At 38.8% G+C, this 20,796-nt stretch overlaps 1 protein-coding gene across 4 annotated transcripts in view; it reads left to right on the forward strand.

Moving 5' to 3' along the window:
* The window catches only part of TYW3 (tRNA-yW synthesizing protein 3 homolog), a 33,526-nt gene extending 13,833 nt beyond the window's left edge, over positions 1 to 19,693 (forward strand). For 3 of the 4 annotated variants that reach the window (NR_027962.2, NM_138467.3, NM_001162916.2), the window contains 3 exons: positions 1,767 to 1,838; positions 5,308 to 5,441; positions 16,910 to 19,693. Coding sequence is in view for 3 of the 4 variants with exons in the window: in NM_138467.3 (NP_612476.1) it covers positions 1,767 to 1,838; positions 5,308 to 5,441; positions 16,910 to 17,129 (426 nt within the window). In the remaining variant the exon portion in view is untranslated. The remainder of the gene's footprint in view (positions 1 to 1,766; positions 1,839 to 5,307; positions 5,442 to 16,909) is intronic. The other variant, XM_006710347.3, reaches the window with a different exon arrangement.
* Positions 19,694 to 20,796: the final 1,103 nt, after the last annotated feature.

Consider the following 20,796-nt stretch of genomic DNA (forward strand, 5'->3'; position numbering starts at 1 on the left):
GAACAGAAGGGAAGCCACTCAAGGTTAGAGAAAATAGCAAGGGCTGGAGCAAATAGAACATCATTAGTCATGGTTTAGAGCTTGGATTCTGTCACTAGCTAGTCTGTAAGAATGGTTTGAAGGGGCAAGAGTGAAAGAAGAGACTAATTGGGAGACTCCTCCAGAAGTTAAGGAGAGAGGTGATGGAGACTTGAAAAAGAGTGGGCAGTGGATGTGGCAAGAGCTGGATTAATTTGAGGTAATCGTAGAGGTAGAATCAATGGGAATTGGGTATAGGGGATGAAGAAGTAGAAAGCATCGGGGCTATCTAGGTTTGGAGCTTGAGCAGCTAGATAGATGATGGTGTCATTTTACTGTAATTAGAAAGACCGGGCCAGGCGCGGTGGCTCACGCCTGTAATCCCAGCACTTTGGGAGGCCGAGGCGGGCGGATCACGAGGTCAGGAGATCGAGACCATCCCGGCTAAAACAGTGAAACCCCGTCTCTACTAAAAATACAAAAAATTAGCTGGGCGTAGTGGCGGGCGCCTGTAGTCCCAGCTACTTGGGAGGCTGAGGCAGGAGAATGGCGTGAACCCGGGAGGCGGAGCTTGCTGTGAGCCGAGATCCCGCCACTGCACTCCAGCCTGGGCGACAGAGCGAGACTCCGTCTCAAAAAAAAAAAAAAGAAAAAGAAAAAAAGAAAAGAAAAGAAAGACTGGATGTGAGTATGTATACATATGTGTGTGTGTATATATATGTATACACATATATACACACACATATATGTATATATGTATGTGTATATGTGTGTATATGTATACACATGTGTACATATATATGTGTACACACATATGTATATATATGGGTGCGTATATATGTGTATACACATATGTATGTATACATACACATACACACACATATACACATATACACACATATATACACACGTATATACATATATACATATATGTGTGTATATATGGTATTTAAACCAGGGAATCTCAAAAGGAGAGCATGTACTTAGAGCAAGGTTTTTCAACCATGGCACAGCTGGCATTTCAGGTCAAATAATTATTTGTGTGGGGGCTGTCCTGTATAATGGAGAATGTTTAAGCTGCATCCCTGGCCTCTACCCACTATTTGCTAGAGATCTCCCTTCCTCTTCCCTTGAGTTGTGACAACCAAAAATGGCTTCAGATATTGCCAGATGGCCCCTGGGGTTCAAAATTATTCTTGCTTAAGAACTACTGAGCTGGAGAAAATAAGGGACCCATGTCTGCTCCCCAGGGCTCTCTGACATTTAGAGACTGACAAAATAACTTACAAAGTCACCTCAGTCAGATCAGAATTTGTGTGCTTGCTATGCTTTCTTATATCATTTCAACAAAGTTTTTTAAGCAATAGAAGGGATATTGAGAAACATTGTACTCATTTTAAAAGATTTTGTTTTGTTTATTTTTATACAACACAATTAGAAGAATGATTGTTTTTTGGTTACATTCTGCTTTCTGGAAGCAATCACTAGCCAAATGTCACTGTTTGTGATTGAATTCTACTTTTACTCTTTCTCAATGACACATCCATAGTTCATATTTCAATATTTTTCCTGATGTTAGGAGTTTGATCAAAGTCATTTTTAAGCATAGTCCGTATTGGCTAGACGAAAAATTTTTTTAAAAACCTTAATAGCTTTTAGGGTTATATATGTTTCTGTAGTTTGTGGAGCCAAACAGATGATCTGGTTACCCACAGTATCAAAATGTAACAAGTTTTATTTTCTTACAGCATTCCATGGCAATAGATTCTGGTTTCAGGAACTCTGGCATAACGGTGGGAAAGAGAGGAAAAACTATGTTGGTAAGATATTTTGTCAAAGAGTAATTTTTTTAGTGTAAAGTGATCCAGAAATTGAATAACCTAATTAGACTCCTGCCTTTAATGTCTCCTTTCTCAAATCTTCTTGCCATTCTCTTACTCATAAACCCTCAGTGACTTACTCCTTCCTACAGGGCAAAGTCCAGAGTTTGGATTTACAGTTGAGGTCTTATTTAATAATATTCTTCTCCACTTACTTTTAACCTGATTCTTAACTCTGCCCTCCTCATCCTAAGTAGGCAAGGCCCCAAAGCACTATGACATCATGGAAAGAGTCACAGAGAGAGTTCAAAGTCCCCTTTACTGATACCTGCTGGATCACAGCTGTGTGAATTTGGGCAAGCTCCTCAGTCCCTCAGGGTTTGAATTTTCTCAGCAGTATCAGTGGTCCAGCTAACTACTGTCGTAGGGCCACATTCAGCCCACATGGGGCAGGATCCCACTATACTCATTTGATTACTTATTGTCTGAGGTTGCTTTTGTGAGACAATGGCAAACTTTAGTAGTTGTGACAGATACTATATGCCTTGCAAAGTCAAAAATGTTTACTATCTATCCTTTTAGAGAAAAGATTTGCTGACCTTTCGACTAGATGATCTTTAAGACTTGCTTTCTTTTTGAGTCCTTCTCTAGCCAAGCTAGCCCTTAGATATTTCTCCCTATTCTGATCTCCTGTGATATTTACTGTTTGGCATGGCATGTTTTTGAACTATTTGAGATTACCCTCCTTCTACCTTCCTATATTCTCCTATTTTCTATTTTTAACAATAACCTATTTCCCAAATAGGGGTGGATGACAAAAGAGGACACCCTTAAAGCATGGCTGAATAGAAAATCAAAGCCTGGCCAGGCGTGGTGGCTCATGCTTGTAATCCCAGCACTTTGGGAGGCCAAGGCAGGCGAATCACGAGGTCAAGAGATCGAGACCATCCTGGTGAAACCCCATCTCTACTAAAAATACAAAAATTAGCTGGGCGTGGTGGTGCGTAGCTGTGGTCCCAGCTACTCAGGAGGCTGAGGCAGGAGAATCACTTGAACCCAGGAGGTGGAAGTTGCAGTTAGCAGAGATCACGCCACTGCGCTCTGGCTGGACAGAGCAAGACTCTGTCTCAAAAAAACAAAGAAAAGAAAATTAAAGCCCGTAGTACTGGTTTATGTCCCCATCTCACTCTTTACTCCATCTGGTATCCCAGATGAAAGCAGAGCCATTCTTTCACCTTCTTCTTTGTTTCCATATTCAATTCGTTATAGGTCCTATCCATGCTGCCCCTCGTTTCTAATACTTGACCCCACCCTAGGTCTTCTGGCACTGCCCAGCCCTCAAGATCCCTAACCTCAGTCTTTACCATTGTCTCCCGACTAGTCTTCTTACTTTAGGTCTTCTCCTTGAGTCCCTCCAACCAGTGCTCTCAGAATCCCCCTTTAAAAAACTCAGGGCCTCAGCTGGGCGCGGTGGCTCATGCCTGTAATCCCAGCACTTTGGGAGGCTGAGGTGGGTGGATCACCTGAGGTCAGGAGTTCGAGACCAGCCTGACCAACATGGTGAAACCCCATCTCTACTAAAAATACCAAAATTAGCCAGGCATGGTGGCATGTGCCTGTAATTACAGCTACTTGGGAGGCTGAGGCAGGAGAATTGCTTGAACCTGGGAGGTGGAGGTTGCAGTGAGCCAAGATCATGCCACTGCACTCCAGCCTGGGCAACAGAGCAAGACTCTGTCTCAAAAATAAAATAAAAAAAACCTCAGGGCCTCCAAACATTTTCTTGGTATTCAGGGTCTTACCCAGACTATTTTGCATCTACCTGTTTATGTTCGTCTTCCAATTACATACTTATGCTCCAGCTATATAGAACTATTGGTTGTTTTCCAAGGGTATCATGCTCTTTTATGTCTCTATGCCCACAGATAAGTGGTGCCTCTGGCTGGAGTTCTTCCTCTCCCTTTCTCTCCCCCGCTCCTTTTTTTTTTTTTTTTTTTTTTTTGAGATAGAGTTTCACTCTTATTGCCCAGACTGTAGTGCAATGTCTCAGTCTCAGCTCACTGCAACCGCCACCTCCCAGGTTCAAGTGATTTTCCTGCCTCAGCCTCCCAAGTAGCTGGAATTACACACAGGCCCTTGCCACTATGCCTGGTTAATTTTTTTATTTTTAGTAGAGACGGGGTTTCACCATGTTGGCCAGGCTGGTCTCGAACTCCTGACCTCAGGTGATCCATCTTCCTTGGCCTCCCAAAGTGTTGGGATTACAGGCGTGAGCCACCATGCCCGGCCCCTTCTTAATTTTTATGTCTGGTGAAATTGCACTCATCCTTTAAAATCCCAACTCAATTGCTGCCTTTCCCATAAAGCTGAGTTCTTAGACTCAGTTGCTTCTCTTCAACATTTTCTTGCCAGTGTGTGTGTATGTGTGTGTATGTACATGCACATGCATGCATGTGTGTTTCTTCTGTCATAAGTCTTAAAGCCAGAGGTCATGTTATAGTCACCCTGTATCTTCATGCCTTATAGGGAGCCTAGAACATTGCAGATGCTCAGCAAAAGTTTATGGAATGGCCAGGCGTGGTGGCTTATGCCTGTAATCCCAGCACTTTGGGAGGCCGAGGTGGGTGGATCACCTAAGACTGGGAGTTCAAGACCAGCCTGACCAACATGGAGAAACCCCGTCTCTATGAAAAATACAAAATTAGCCAGGCGTGGCGCATGCCTGTAATCCCAGCTACTCTGGAGGCTGAGGCAGGAGAATCGCTTGAACCTGGGAGGCGGAGGTTGCTGTGAGCCGAGATTGCACCATTGCACTCCAGCCGGGGCAACAAGAGTGAAACTCTGTCTGAAAAAAAAAAAAAGAAAATGTATGGAGTGAATTTTTATTCTCATAATAATTTTTATAGACCTTGTATGGTTGTTCTTAACCTCTATCCAGTGTTTGCCTCTACTTGGAACATGTTGACTATTTCATCAACAGGGCTATTAAGATTGTGAACCCTAAAGCATTGAGAAGCAGCTCCTGTGTATGATAGAGGAGGCATAGTTTACTCTTGTAACTGTGCTCTGCTCCAAGAGCACTGAGACCCTTTGGCATCCAGTTCTTTTTTATTTTCCCTTGAGATTTCTGTTGAGGTTTTCTTTCTTTCTTTAAGTCGTGTATTATGGCTTTCTAAGCTATAGTGAGATTGAAATTGTTAAAAGTTATTTGATTCTTTGATATCATCTGTTTCTCTGAAAGGTAACGTACAGAATATCTTTCTTTAGAAATGACTGTAGATGATGGAAAAAATTTTATTTAATCTCCTTTGCTTTAACTGTGCTCAGCTAAATTCTATCAAAGCGCTAACTTAACTGTTGTAATGGAACTAAAGTATGTTCAAACACAGCCCTGACGGGACTTTTCTTGAGTTATTTTCAGTTTCTGTGGTATCTAAGTCTTCATATCTAAATTGTTTTTTCCTTGTAGGCTGTCCGGAGTACACATGGCTTAGAAGTTCCATTAAGCCATAAGGGAAAACTGATGGTGACAGAGGAATATATTGACTTCCTGTTAAATGTGGCAAATCAAAAAATGGAGGAAAACAAGAAAAGAATTGAGAGGTATATTAATTGGGTATTTCCATGTTATTCTTATATGCCTAGATCATCCTTGAAAACATTAATACTTACTATCTTCAGTTTATAATGCCAACTGCTTATCTATTTGTAGATAATTTAAAAATACTTTTATTATCATTAATAATAAAAAGATGATCAAAGTAATAGATGAGAGTAGGTCTGGCTGCCATGGGCACTAAATGGAGCATACGGGAGAGGCTCTCTGGGGGATGGTAGGCACGTGACCACCAGAAGCTGGCATAAAGGGGAGAAACATAATTATTCTGGAAGGACAGCCCAGCAGCCACAGGAACTGTAACTGATCAATTTGAAGGCAGCCAGGGAAGAGATGCACACTGCCCCTAGATGGGACCTATCAGAGATTACCTAGTCTTTCCTGTTGAGGGGAACAGCCTGGTTGACTTTTTTTGTCTGATAAATATTTCACTTCTCTGGCTTAGGCTAGTTTAATACCAAACTCTTGTCATGGATTAGATCTAGAATTGCCATAACTTTCTAAATAGGAAGGTATGGCTTTCATTTCACATCTCCATACTTCTTTTGTTCTTCATCGTTACCTCCTGGCAAAGGAAACTTCTATATTATTTTCTTTAACAACTTTTTCCCAAGAATAAAGTTTATATATAAAGTAGTAAATATTATGCTGTCTTTCATATATGAAAGTAATGCCACTGACCTACCATCAGCTAGATGCACAGTTTTGAGTTATCCAAGGAGTAATAGCCAATTTGATGTCGTTTATAATTTTCTTTTTTCTTCTCTCCACTCTTTTGGCTACTTCCATTCAGTCAATCGCTGTCTGAATATCTCTTCAGTCATTCTGTCTCCATCCATACTGCTTCTTTCCTCATTCATGACCATCACAATAGCCTCATTCAGGATGCTTCTGGTATGCCTCTCTGCTAAGCCATTCTTTATCAAATCATGTTTGTAAAGTGCAAAGGATTCCTGTTGCTTAACTTGCCTGCTTAAGATTCTTTAATACTTAGAACTTTTTTTGAAGCATTGAAGGCCAACAAGTGCTAGTGGTGGCAGTGTAAAAGGGTGAAGTGAGGTAGAAGTATGCCACCAAGGCAGAACTGGGTTCAAATCGTGGTTCTGAGTTACTCAGTCTGGTTCCACCAAATTGCTCAACTTTCCAGACTTCAATTTTCTTATCTCTAACTTCTGGGAAATACCTATCTTAAAGAATAATTATTATATTCATTAGATAGTGTATTTATAATGACTGCCCTGACCCTGTTATGTTTTGGACTCTCAGGACAGGATAGCCATTCTCCTTCATTGATTCATGGAGAATAAACCTATAATCATAAAAATATCACCATTCAGGCTTTCTCAACTAGGGTTCCTCATTTGAACCACACAATTCACAAAGTTATTTGAGTGACTATTTTCTGAATTCTCCCAAGGATTTTATGTAACATGTACTATTTTAGATACATTGGAGAAAAGTCAATTCATTACTTACAATGGATGTCTTAGGGTACTAGAGCTTAATTTTCCAGCCACACCCTGGTTGAGAAAAACTGACCACAAAAACCTGGCCACAAAATACTTTGAGCAGGTATTCTAACTAAAGTAATACTTTTAAATAAGCAAAACCCATTCCACCAGACTACAGACTACTATATGTAAGTATTTACTGGTACCATTCCATAAGTTTACCACTTATTAAATTGTAATCCAGTGAGACTGTTTGCTAAAACATAGGAGGTAGCAAATCAGTTTTCTCTGTTTCCTTTCTTGAATTTTAACAAGCTTATAAATAGAGCCCAAGATCAACTAACTGTACACCTGGTGAAGTTAATTGAGCCACGTTCACCAACTATAAAATCAAATTATGCTTAAATCCATTGACTCAAAAATATGTTTTGAGATTATAATGTGCATGCTGCCATTAAGAGCCACGCTTATCATATAAAATCAGGGAAAAATTAAAGAAGGGTAAAAATGTCTTAAGATACTGATTAGAAGATTACATGTGAATTTAGAAAGTGAGAACAAATTAAGGAGCTCCTTTGGGAACAGCTGTATGTTCAACCAAATGCAGTGAAAGAGTTACTCTTCTGATGTTGAAAAGAGAAAAAAATCCTTGAGGTGATGAGTTATGCAATCAGACATTCATTAAGTACTAAGATTGGTTTGCCATAGGACCAAAGTTTCACAATTCAGAGAATTTCAAAAACAAAAAATCCTGAAAAACATTTCAGCAATAAGAAATATTCTATAAATGTGAAAATTAAAGAGGTAGAATATTTTTAATAAAAAAAAAGGCCTTGTTCATGAGAAACAATTCCTAAGCCCACTTCTTATGGGAAGAGACTTATCCATTGGGTTCCTGTTGTTTCTGGAGCTGGGCAAGACAAGACCTTCAAGCAGCAGACTGCTTTATAAACAGCTAATTTGGAGACTGGAAGAGACAGGGACTGACACCAGATGTAGGAAGACAATTCATACATAACGATCTAGAGAAATTTGGATAGCTATTGACTGACTACAAGAGGAAGGCTATCTTTGAATCTATTAATAAGCAGTCAGCACATGGGTCAGATGAAACCATCATCTGGCTATGAGTAGCATAAAATTAGCCATGTGCTTTTCACCAACTGTGTAATGAGAAAATATTACATAAAATGTACAATAAAGGGGCAGAATATATTGTCATCTAATATTGTTGATAAAGCAAATCTGGAAGAAAAGTAATTGAATCCACTTTCAATAGTTTTTTTTTTAACTCTATTTTCTGATAAAATGTACGCAATAGGAAATTTACCATTTTAACCAGTGGCATTAAGTGCATTCACATTGTTATGCAACTGTCGCCACTGTCCATCTCCAGAACGTTTTCATCATCACAAACTAAACTTCTCTACCCATTAAACACTAACTCTCGATTCCTCGTACTCCATTCCCCTGGTAATCACTATTCTATTTTCTCTATGAATTCCACTATTATAGGTAATTCATCTAAGTGGGATCATACAATATGCATCCTCCAGTATCTGGCCTATTTTACTTCGTTAATGTAGGATTCATCCATGCTATAACATGTATCAGAATTTCAGTTTCTTTAAGAGTGAATAATATTCCATTGTATTTATAGACTGAATTTTGTTTATTCATTGATGTGTCAATGGACATTTAAGGTGTCTTTCCCTTTTAGCTATTATAAATGCTGCTCTGAACATCATTGTACAAGTATCTGAGTCACTGCTTTCAGTTCTGTTGGATATATACTCAGAAGTGGTATAGTGTAATCAAAGAAAGCATATTGGAAGAAGTCACTGAGCAGGGCCTAAAATGCAGGCAGGGTTTTTATATGAAGAGCTCTGTGGGAGGGGGAAATAGCATGATAGATAAAAAAGAAGAGCATGAACAAAGGAAAAAGAGATAGTGATATGGTTTGGCTTTGTCCTCACCCAAATCTCATCTTGAATTTCCATGTGTTGTGAGAGGGAGCTGGAGGGAGGTAATTGAATTATGGGGGCAGGTCTTTCCTGTGCTGTTCTTGTGATGGTGCATAAGTCTCACAAGATCTGACGGTTTTAAAAACGGGAGTCGCCCTGCACAAGTTCTCTTCACTTGCCTGCTGCCATGTGAGACATGCCTTTCACCTTCCACCATGATTGTGAGGCCTTCCCAGCCACATGGAACTGTAAGTTCATTAAATCTCTTTCTTTTGTAAATTGCCCGGTCTCGGGTATGTCTTTATCAGCAGTGTGAAAATGGACTAATACAGTAAATTGGTACCACTATAGTGGGGCACTGCGGAAAAGATACCCAAAAATGTGGAAGCGACTTTGGAACTGGGTAACAGGTAGAGGTTGGAACAGTTTGGAGGATTCAGAAGAAGACAGGAAAATGTGGGAAAGTTTGGAACTTCCTAGAGACTTGTCTAATGGCTTTGACCAAAATGCTGATAATGATATGGACAAGGAAATCCAGGCTGATGTAGTCTCAGATGGAGATGAGGAACTTGTTGGGAACTGGAGCAAAGGTGACTCTTGTTATGTTTTAGCAAAGAGACTGGCAGCATTTTACCCCTGCCCTCGAGACTTGTGGAACTTTGATGTTGAGAGAGATGATTTAGGGTATCCGGCAGAATTTCTAAGCAGCAAAGCATTCAAGAGGTGACTTGGGTGCTGTTAAACACATTCAGTTTTATAAGGGAAGCAGAGCATAAAAGTTTTGAAAACTTGCAGCATGACAATGTGATAGAAAAGAAAATTCCATTTTCTGAGGAGAAATTCAAGTCAGCCCTAGAAATTTGCATAAGTAATGAGGAGCTGAATGTTAATCCCCAAGGCAATGGGGAAAATGTCTCTAGGGCATGTCAGCGGTCTTCACAGCAGTCCCTCCCATCACAGGCCCAGAGGCCTAGGAGGAAAAAGTGGTTTTGTGGGCTGGGCCCAAGGTCCCTGTGCTGTGTGCAGCCTAGGAACTTGGTGCCCTGTGTCCCAGCCACTCAAGCCATGGCTGAAAGGGACCAATGTAGAGCTTGGGGCTGTGGCTTCAGAGGGTGCAAGCCCCAAACCTTGGCAGCTTCCATGTGGTGTTGAGCCTACGAGTGGACAAAAGTCAAGAATTGGCATCTGGGGACCTCCATCTAGATTTCAGAAGATATATGGCAACACCTGGATGCCCAGATGGAAGTTTAGTGCAGAGGCGGGGCCCTCATGGAGAACCTCTGCTAGGGCAGTGCCAAAGGGAAGTGTGGGGTCAGAGCCCCCACACAGAGTCCCTACTCGGGCAATGCCTAGTGGAGCTGTGAGAAGCGGGCTACCATCCTCCAGACCCCAGAATGATAGATCCACCGACAGCTTGTACTGTGTACCTGGAAAAGCCACAGACACTCAGTGCCAGCTTGTGAAGGTAGCCAGAAGGGAAGCTGTATCCTGCAAAGCCACAGAGGCAGAGCTGCCCAAGACTATGGGAACCCACCTCTTGCATCAGCATGATCTGGATGTGAGACATGGAGTCAAAGGAGATCATTTTGGAGCTTTAATGTTTGACTGCCCTGCTGGATTTTAGACTTCCATGGGGCCTGTAGCCCTTTTATTTTGGCCAATTTATCCTATTTGAAATGGCTATATTTACCCAATGCCCACACCACCATTGTATCTAGGAAATAACTAACTTGCTTTTGATTTTACAGGCTGATAGGCAGAAGGGACTTGCCTTGTCTCAGATGAGACTTTGGACTATGGACTTTTGAGTTCATGCTGAAATGAGTTAAGACTTTGGGGGACTGTTGGAAAGGGATGATTGGTTTTGAAATGTGAGGACATGAGATTTGGGAGGGGCCAGTGGGGCAACCTGGTGGGAGGTAATTGAATCCTGGGGACAAGGTCTTTCCTGTGGTGTTCTCATGATTGTAAGTCTCATGAGATCTGATGGTTTTAAAAACGGGAGTCTTCCTGCACAAGCTCACTTTTCTTGTCTGCTGCCATGTGAGACCTTCCACCATGACCATGAGGCCTCCCCAGCCACATGGAACCATAAGTCCATTAAATCTCTTTCTTTTGTAAATTGCCCAGTCTCAGGTATGTCTTTATCAGCAGCACGAAAATGGACTAATACAGATGGCAATATGTAAGCCATAAATAGGGATCAGTGAATGGTTCGGTTTACCTAGAAGATGAGAGAGTAAGAATTTCTGTTGTATCACTTTGCTGCTTTTCTTCCTGCTTGTGATGTTTCTTCTTAGTTTCATTGTAGGTTTCTCTTCTTCCTCTTCATTAAATACTGTTCTCCAAGCTTCTGTCCTTGGCCCATGGCTTCAACTAGTTCTGCTACTTTTCCATGTACTGGCAGGTCTTCTAAATCTTTCTAGAGTCTTGGGCCAACATATCCAATAACCATTTGAACATATCTAATTAAAATCTCTCACCAGCTTTTCCTTAATATGTTTCTTACCTTATTCTAAATCCCCCAGCCGTTTTCTTGGTTCCAATTCTTATCATCATTTACCAGCCATTTTCATGGTTCTGATTCTTATCATCATTTACCAGCCATTTTCATGGTTCTGATTCTTATCGTCATTTACCAGCCATTTTCATGGTTCTGATTCTTATCGTCATTTACCAGCCATTTTCATGGTTCTGATTCTTATCGTCATTTACCAGCCATTTTCATGGTTCTGATTCTTATCGTCATTTACCAGCCATTTTCATGGTTCTGATTCTTATCGTCATTTACCAGCCATTTTCATGGTTCTGATTCTTATCGTCATTTACCAGCCATTTTCATGGTTCTGATTCTTATCATCATTTACCAGTGCAAAACAGGTATTTCTATTACATTGAATTACAATTACTTAATTGCACATCTTTTTTTTCCACTGCAACATGGTCACGTTGAAGATAGGACTCCCCCCACCAGCCCCCAACCTTACACACATACACAAACACACTTGAGATATCTTATCCTACAATGTAACATGTATCTGGCTCACAGTAGAAGCCCAAGAAATGTTTATTGAATTAATGATAAAAGATAAAGGAGCTTGAAAGTTAACACATTATATTGAGTTCTCCAAAGGCAAAAACAGTTTCTTGTTCATTATATTCTGAGTGTCTGGAATGAGAATAGTGGTTAATAAATGTTCACAAATTTAGTTGACTAGACTTTTTCATAAATAGTGCTACTTTTTTTAAGGCTTCAAAGCATTAGGATGCTTATTCTGGAAGACCTGTCAGATGGTTTAGAGATGGGGTGAGTACAAGTAGGCTCTTTCTATAGCCTAAGGAAGAAGTAATAGGTCCCTGAGTAACAAGATGAATGAGAATGAGACTGCAGAATATCCATCAGACATGGCAGCAGGTTGGAAATAGGGGTAACACAGAGAAGGAGGACTAAAGAATAAGAGCTGTCTTAGATTCCTCATAGTTGCTAGTCTTTATCATTTTTCTTTCTTTCTTTTCTTTTCTTTTTTTTTTTTTTTGGTAGAGATGAGGTCTTTCTATGTTGCCCAGGTTGGTTTCAAACTCCTGGCCTGGCCAGAAGTGATTGTCACACCTTAGCCTCCCAAAGTTTTGGGATTATAAGCATGAGCCACTGCACATGGTCAAGTCTTACCATTTCTAAAAATGGGTCTAAAACAGCTAAATAAATAACACACATTTCCCTGTATAGTTGACCCTTGAACAACATGGAGTTAGGGTTACCACCCCCCTATGTAGTTGAAAATCCACATGGCTTTTGTTGTTGTTGTTTTTGAGACAGGATCTCACTGTCACCCAGGCTGGAGTACAGTGGCATGATCTTGGCTCACTGCAACCTTCGCCTTCCAGGCTCAAGTGATCCTCCACCTCAGCTTCCCGAGTAGCTGTTACTACAGGCATGTACCACCAAGCCCAGATAATTTTTTGTATTTTTTTGTAGAGATGGGGTTTTGCCATGTTGCCTAGGCTGGTCTCAAACTCCTGGACTCAAGTGATTGCCCGCCTTGGCCTCCCAAAGTGTTGGGATTACATGCATAAGCCACCGCACCTGGCTGACATATGACTTGACTCCCAAGAAACTTAGGTACTGATATCCTACCTTTGACTGGAAGCATTATTCATAACATAAGCAGTTGATTAGCACATGTATTGTATGTTATATATATTGTGTACTGTATTCTTACAATAAAGTAAGCTAGAGAAAAATGTTATTAAGAAAATCATAAGGAAGAGAAAATATATTTATTATTCATTAAGTGGAAATGGATCATCACAAAAGCCTTTGTCTTCATCGTCTTCACCTTGAGTAGGCTGAGGAAGAGGAGTGGTTGGTCCTGCTATCTCAGGGGTGGCAGAGGCAGAAGAGGTAGAGAAGGTAGAAGGAGAAGCAGGAATATTTGGTGTAGCTTTTATTCAAAAAAAATCTGCATGTAAGTGGACCTGTGTAGTTCAAAACCATATTGTTCAAGGGTCAACTGTATACTTAAGACCAAATAAGTAAATAATATAAAGCGAAAACATATATTTTATTTTCTAGTAGTGTTTCCTGGGACATCCCCCATGCCCCCATCTTTTTTCCTCCTAATTCCTCTCTTAGCACATTGTCAGCTTCCATTCATCCTTGCAGTTCAGCCCAGGCATTGGATCTTATAACGGAGAGCATTTTGTGATTTCAGTTAGAGCACTGTGTCCCATCTTTTTCATGGTGTGTTAAATGTGGCTTTACAGTTCTGTAGCTCCTGTTAAACCATGAGCTCCTTGAGGGCACAGACCACAGACCACTTCTCTGGGCTTCTAGTACTGGGCACTTGGCCTGTCACATACATGTTGTTTTTTAAAGAAAATGCTAGTTAAAATCTAAATACATATTAGAATAGCCTTCTTTGATATTTGTGAATGATGGAAGCCTAAAGGAAATAAAATTGTGCCTCAGTTTCCTCAATTCTGTGTTTTTGTTTGAGAAGTTAGAGAAATTCCAGCTTTCTGTTGAAAGTGGTTTTCTAACTGACGTTGAAAAACAAGAATTCATTTTCTCAGGCTTGGCCTGAAAACTTATGAAGAGAACTAAGTACAAGTTGTCCTATGCTATGATAATCTTGACTGCAGAGGCAGAAAAACTGAAGGCTATTTGCTTTTCTTTCAAGGAGAGAAAAAATACAGTTGCCTGAACATACTTTTTTTTTTTTTTCCTTAAATCTCAGAGCTCATTTTGTTGCCTGTGAGAGTTCAGAAAATTGCACTTTTGAAAATCAGGCTTAAGTGTTACTGTATAAGGGGAGAACATAACTTTTGACTTACTGAGTACTGTTTCTCAAAGGACTTTTAAAGTTCTCTTAGAAAAGGGAAAGGAAAACTAGTATTTGAAGTTTTTATTCAGGAAAGGATCTTTGTTCCATTTTACCAGTTGTTTTGGTACCCTAAGGACATAGCTTTGAATTCTTAGGTTCTTTAATGGTTGATTAAAGTAAGGCATACATTCCTTTTTAATTACTTTTTTTTAATGTGATGGATGAGGCATTTTTCACAAGCTGTTAATTCTCGGTGATCATAAAGGAGCAATTTAATCTTATCTTTCATTTTCTAGGAAGAAAGTATAATCCAGAAAAAAACACTCAGTTACCTAAGCCTAAAGTGCAGGGTTGATAAAGAATGGTAGAAGATGAGGTTGTATAACAGGGATGGCGTCTTATGATCAGGATGAGCCACACCATCTTGTGGCATGCTCAGATTTATGTTTTAGATAACGTTAATGTAAGTCATTCTGAACAGGCTGTGTGGAACATGAGAAGGATACCAGTCATTGACATCACCTAAGATGGTGACAAGACCTAGAAAGAAAGATCAAGTCAAGCATAGAAGTTTTCATCAATGTAAGGAACCAAACATTATTGGTAGATGACATGAGGGGCAGATGGAGGAATTTGGGAAAATGTTGATGAGCCGGTTTTATTCTGACCTCATCTCTCAGCTCTGTGGTAGCAGGATATGGAAAACATAAGCAGTCTCCGCTTGGGAGGAATGATGGAAGATGGTGTCTACAGGGGAGCCAGGTTTCAGTAACGGAAGGATGTAAAGGGTGCATTAAGTGAAAGGATGTTACCATGGAACAAGGCCCAAAAAGTTATGTATGTCACGCATCTCAGTCTTTTTAAATTTAACTCTGTGTCTGTTTTTGAGATTAATTCATTCATTGATAAAAATATTTATTGAGCATCTGTTGTTTGCCAAGCACAGCACTAGATATCAAGGTGTACAGTGATGAGTGCATAAGTTCTTGAAAATGGACAGGATGTGTACTCATCATGTTGTATATGTATTAGAGTTAGGTGACATATTTAGGAATATGTGGATATTTGGAGTTTTGGAGTTTTATAGGCTTCGTAAGTAGAACTTAGCCTGTTTATTGAATCAAACAAAGATGAAAATTGGTCCAAATAGAGATCTATTCTGTAGATATCAAAAATTTCTTGCCATAGTCTCCCATTATAATAGGACATAAAAGTAAGATGAGATCTCTGCAGTGGCAGGGGGGTTTCCTAACTTTCAGATCATTCTGATTTGAGACCTAGGATAACACATTTATAGTTACATTTTTATTCTGGGGTTATTCATTCATTTATTCAATATAGTCTTACTGAGTATGCCAGCACTCTACTACATGCTCAGAATATAACAGGAGACAGGTAGATAGGATCCTTGCTCTCATGAAGTCTATATTCCATAAAAGTAGTCATTTTTGATAACTAACTCTCTGGGTACTTACATATATCATCTGTAATCCTGTGACAACCCTGATAGCTACAGGATAATAATATCCAGCTTTATAAATGTGAAAAATCAAGACTGTGGGAAATTAATTGGAATTAGCTGACATCACCTTTCCTAAAAGAATGTTGGTGTCAAATGCATGCAACACACCATGCTATGCTGCCTGCTGCAGGCTACTGTGTCAAGCAGAGTTTTGTGTTAGGTGTTAACATGAGGGTAGAAAAGAAATGAGGCCTGGTTTTCAGAGAGCCTACAGTTTATTGTATCACAAAACTAACACTAAAACTCCAATAGAAAAATGAATAAAGGGAAACAATAATTTACACTAAAAAATTCAAATAGCTAATAAATGAGAAACATTGTATTTTACTTACAAAGAAATGAAAGTTAAAATAATGCGATATCATTTTCACCCATCCAGGTAGAATGTGTTTTTTGATGGGAATATTCAGTGTATAGGTGTAGTGATCTCTCTCAAGTGCAGCTATTAGAAGCGTATTTCTTTGAATATCTATTGTGAAAACAAGCAGTATTTATCAAGAGCCTTGTAATGTTTATGCCTTTTAACGATGTAATGATATTTCTAGGTGTCTATATAAAGAAATGGCTAAAAACTCACATCACATCATTTTCAAAAATGCTTACCACATTTTTGTTTGTATCAGGGAAAATTTGAATGTAAATAAAGGCCAATCTAGATGACATAATGTTGTACTGCCACTCTCAATAAATAATAACTTTGAAAAAACAATGTAAAACTTTATATGTAATATTCTAATTGTGACAAATAGGTATATGGATTAATTAATAAATACATTAATTCAGACTACATTAATAAACTGAAAAGAAAAATATTGAGAGGAGTTATTTCTAGTTATGTAGAGGTGATCTGTATTTGTAACCTCACACATTATACAAATTACCTAAAATGAGCCATTACATTTATGTAATAATAATTGCATTCTTTTTTACCCTCTTCTTTGACCCCTACATTTGGGTTGGAAAGTGAGGTAGGACAGAGGTTGTCAAGAGGTGATTCCAATCCAGTTTTCAGGGCTGTTCTTAAAGAACTGAAATGCATTTATTTCCCTAATAAAACATATTATTTATTTGATTTATATTTATAAAGCTAATATGGGACATAGTCAAATTTACATAACTTATAAGCTCTTGGTGTATTTCAGTCATTTCGTTTCAGTACACACAGATATAATAGTAGTACTTATTTCTTCACAGGTTTTACAACTGCCTACAGCATGCTTTGGAAAGGGAAACGATGACTAACTTACATCCCAAGATCAAAGAGAAAAATAACTCATCATATATTCATAAGAAAAAAAGAAACCCAGAAAAAACACGTGCCCAGTGTATTACTAAAGAAAGTGATGAAGAACTTGAAAATGATGATGATGATGATCTAGGAATCAATGTTACCATCTTCCCTGAAGATTACTAAGCTTTGGTTCTGATGTGTCTTGGCCGTAATGTTTCTAGTAGGTTTTATAAAGCTGCTCTTCATAAGAGTATTTTAGTTTGTTGAGTGTATCAGCCATTCATAAGCCAGTAATGACAAGTGCAGAGCTTCAAACTATAACTTTGTTGCCCAGAGGATGTGCAGTTGTCATCTAAGCTCTCAGCAGTACCCGGCTTATCCTACGACTTCACCTGAAATGCTATAGTTATCCCTACTTTTTTACCAGTTTCTCCCAGAAGCACCTGCTTAATAAATCAAAGATGTTTGAATGGTGTCTTATTCTGAAATAACCTGACCTAAGACAGGTATTTAGATTATTTTGGATACATTTTGAAAAGGGATAGCATAAATATTTTAAGTAAAAAGACCTTTATTTTAAATAATAGTGGATATTTTAATGCTGGAAATTAGCATTATAGTTGATATGCCAGAAATTATATCTTTGGTTGTGATTTAAACTTATGCTATAAACTAAATTAATGATGTAAATACATAGTTTTAAACATTCTTTTAGGGACATGTAACTTTTAAGTATCACTTCAATAATACGTATTATTATAGGAACAAAGATTTGGGAATAATTGATTACAGGTGAGGAAGTACTGGAATTCCAGTTCAAGGAGATACCATTTCATTTAGGACTAAAAGGACAAGATACAAGTTCACATGATGGGAAAAATCAGAAAACCTCTCGCAGACAAAGGGTATATAATGGATATGAGGCATCAAAAAGCATGGTATAGTCAGTGATGGGGAATAGTCCAGAAAGGCTGAAACACAGCATGTGATGCGAGTCAAGGTAGTTGATGCCCAACTGTGAAGGGCCGTTCTAATCTAGCATGGAGGTAGACAGTGTTTCCTTAATATGGCTGCATATCAGAATTACCTAGGTCAGGACGAGGCATGGAGATGCTACTTTAATAGGCCCTGCCGCAGATCTTCCAAACCAGAATCTTAATCCTGGAGTCTAGGAATCTTTATTTTTCACACAACTCATCCAAGTGGTTCTGATAAAATCAGTCCAGCACTTTTAGAACCCACTGATAACAGACTTATTCCTGGAGACAGCATTTGAGGAGGAATTGAAGATTTTTCTAATGAAAAGAAAAAGGGTCACATGAACAGATGTTGCAGTGTACCTGTGCCAGGGATTTCATGTGTACACTTTATAGGAGAATAAGCAAGAGCTTAGGTAAGTTATAGTCCTTACCATTGGGTCTAAGGCAGTTTCCAGGAAAGCATGGCAACTCGTTCAGCTATGTAAGTTGAACTCTGTACCACTTGGGAGGGAACATTCCCCTAGATGACAATGTCAGTGGCACTCGAAGTTGTGCAGTGCACATTCTTATCTACCAACATATACAGCAGTCCTTCTGGGAAGGAAATTTGGGCAGGAAAGGGAACTCACAGTGTCGGAATGCCTGGAGCATTTCTTCTAGTCTGGTGGACAGAATATGAAAGTATCTGCCTGGCAGTGCAGTAAATGAAAAGAGAAGATAAATGAATAAAAAAAAAAGTTATAAATAACAGTAGGAAAGAGAGAGTGCAGGTGGAACGAGCCTATCCTGTGGTGAAATGACAACACATTCTGCAGTTTTAAAATCTAAGAGGCTCATTGACTTTTCTTCATTCATTTAAATTGATCTCCAAGAAAACTATGTATTTTAAAGATTCCATAAACTGAATATATGAATGAGAATTAAGAAGAGAGGGGCTGCTTCCTAATCTGTTTATATAAGGTATAGTATAGTATAATCTGTTTATATAAGGTTAGTAGAGAGGAGACACCAGGTGCTGGCCATAAACCTAAGAAGACATTGAATCCCATTCACTCCTTAACATTCCTTAATATACATTCATGAGCTACATAACATTTTAATCATCAATGATGGACCATATACCATATACGATATGGTGGCCCCATAAGATTATAATGGACCTGAAAAATTCCTATTGCTAGTGATGTGGTCATTGTAAAGCTGTAGCACAACACATTACCCACGTTTGTGGTGACAGTCATATAAAAGTATGGTACATATAATTATGTACAGTGCATACATAATACTTGATAATATGTTACTGGTTTGTGTCTTTGCTATGCTTTTTATCATTATTTTAGGGTATACTACTTAAAATGTTAACTGTAAAACAGCTTCTGACAGGTCCTTCAGGAAGTACTCCAGAAGAAGGCATTGTTATCATAGAAGGTGACAGCTTCATGTGTGTTATTGCCCCTGAAGACCTTCCAGTGGTACAAGATGTGGAGGAGGAAGACAGTGATACTGAGGATTCTGACCCTGTGTAGGCTTAGGCTAATGTGTGTGTTTATATCTTAGTTTTTCACAAAAAGGTTTTTCCAATGTTAAAAAAAATATATAAAAAAGCTTATAGAATAAGGATATAAAGAAATATTTTGTACAGCTGTACAATAAGCTAAGCATTATTACCAAAGAGTCAAAAAGTTTTAAGAAATTAAAGTTTATAAACCAAATGTTCATTGTGAGCCAAGGTTAATTTATTGAAGAAATAAAACATTTTTAATGAAATTTTGTGTAGTCTTAGTGTCCAGTGTTTATAAAGTTTATACAGTAATACGTTTATACAGAACATCCTAGGCCTTCACATTCACTCACCACTCAGTGACTCACCCAGAGCAACTTCCAGTACTGCAAGCTCCATTCATGGTATGTGCCCTGCACAGATGTGCTATTTTTCACCTGTTATACTATATCTTAATTGTACCTTTTCTATGTTTAGATATGTTTAAATACATAAATACTTATCATTGTGTTACAATTGCCTACAGTAGTCAGCACACTAACATGCTGTACGGGTTTGTACCCTAGAAGCAATAGGCTCCACCATGTAGGCCCAGTAGTGATGTTTGCGTGACTAAATCACCTTACAACCCATTTCTCAGAACATGTTTCTATTGTTAAACAACACACAACTATTTTATTTATGTGTTTTATTTATGCCTGATCACCAATATCAATAACTGAAACACAGCAGTTTAGTAATAATTTAATACACACCATAACCTGCCTATTGAGAATGGCATTATATTTGTTTTCATTGTAGTGGCTCCATCCAAAATAAAATGATTTTTTTCCTTCCTTCAGGATGAAGGCAAGCATTTATTCCTACGGTCTGGATTCCTCATATCACCTACAAGTTAACTGCTTTTGTGTTCTAAAAGAGAGAGGAAAAATGAAGTCAACCTTATTGAAAAACAAGGAGGGAAACTAAGGAACATGCTTTTGCTTTTGAGGTTCTAGGCCAGAAGTCATAAGCTGTAACTTGTCCAAGTTATGGCCAAGCAGATATGTTTTGTTTGGCCCACATGGAGTATATTTTTTCTAATTGAATCAACATTTTAAAATATGATGATTTAATATTTAAAACTATAAAGCGCATCTCTAGTTTGTTTTGTGTGTGTTTTTTTAATTGGAAGATCTGGCTGGAGCCGTCTCACATTCCCACAGGACAACACTTAGCCGTTCAAGTACTAGCTCCTCCTTTTGGATAAGACTTGTTTTCCTATTCACCCCAGACCCAGCACCCCCTACTGGTTCCCTGACACAACTGCTTCAATCATTTACACATTGTTTGGTCCCTGTGGGCACCAGCATTGGCAAACTTTGGTTAG

The sequence above is a fragment of the Homo sapiens genome, chromosome 1, assembly GCF_000001405.40.
Source record: "Homo sapiens chromosome 1, GRCh38.p14 Primary Assembly".
Classification (NCBI taxonomy): Eukaryota; Metazoa; Chordata; class Mammalia; order Primates; family Hominidae; genus Homo; species Homo sapiens.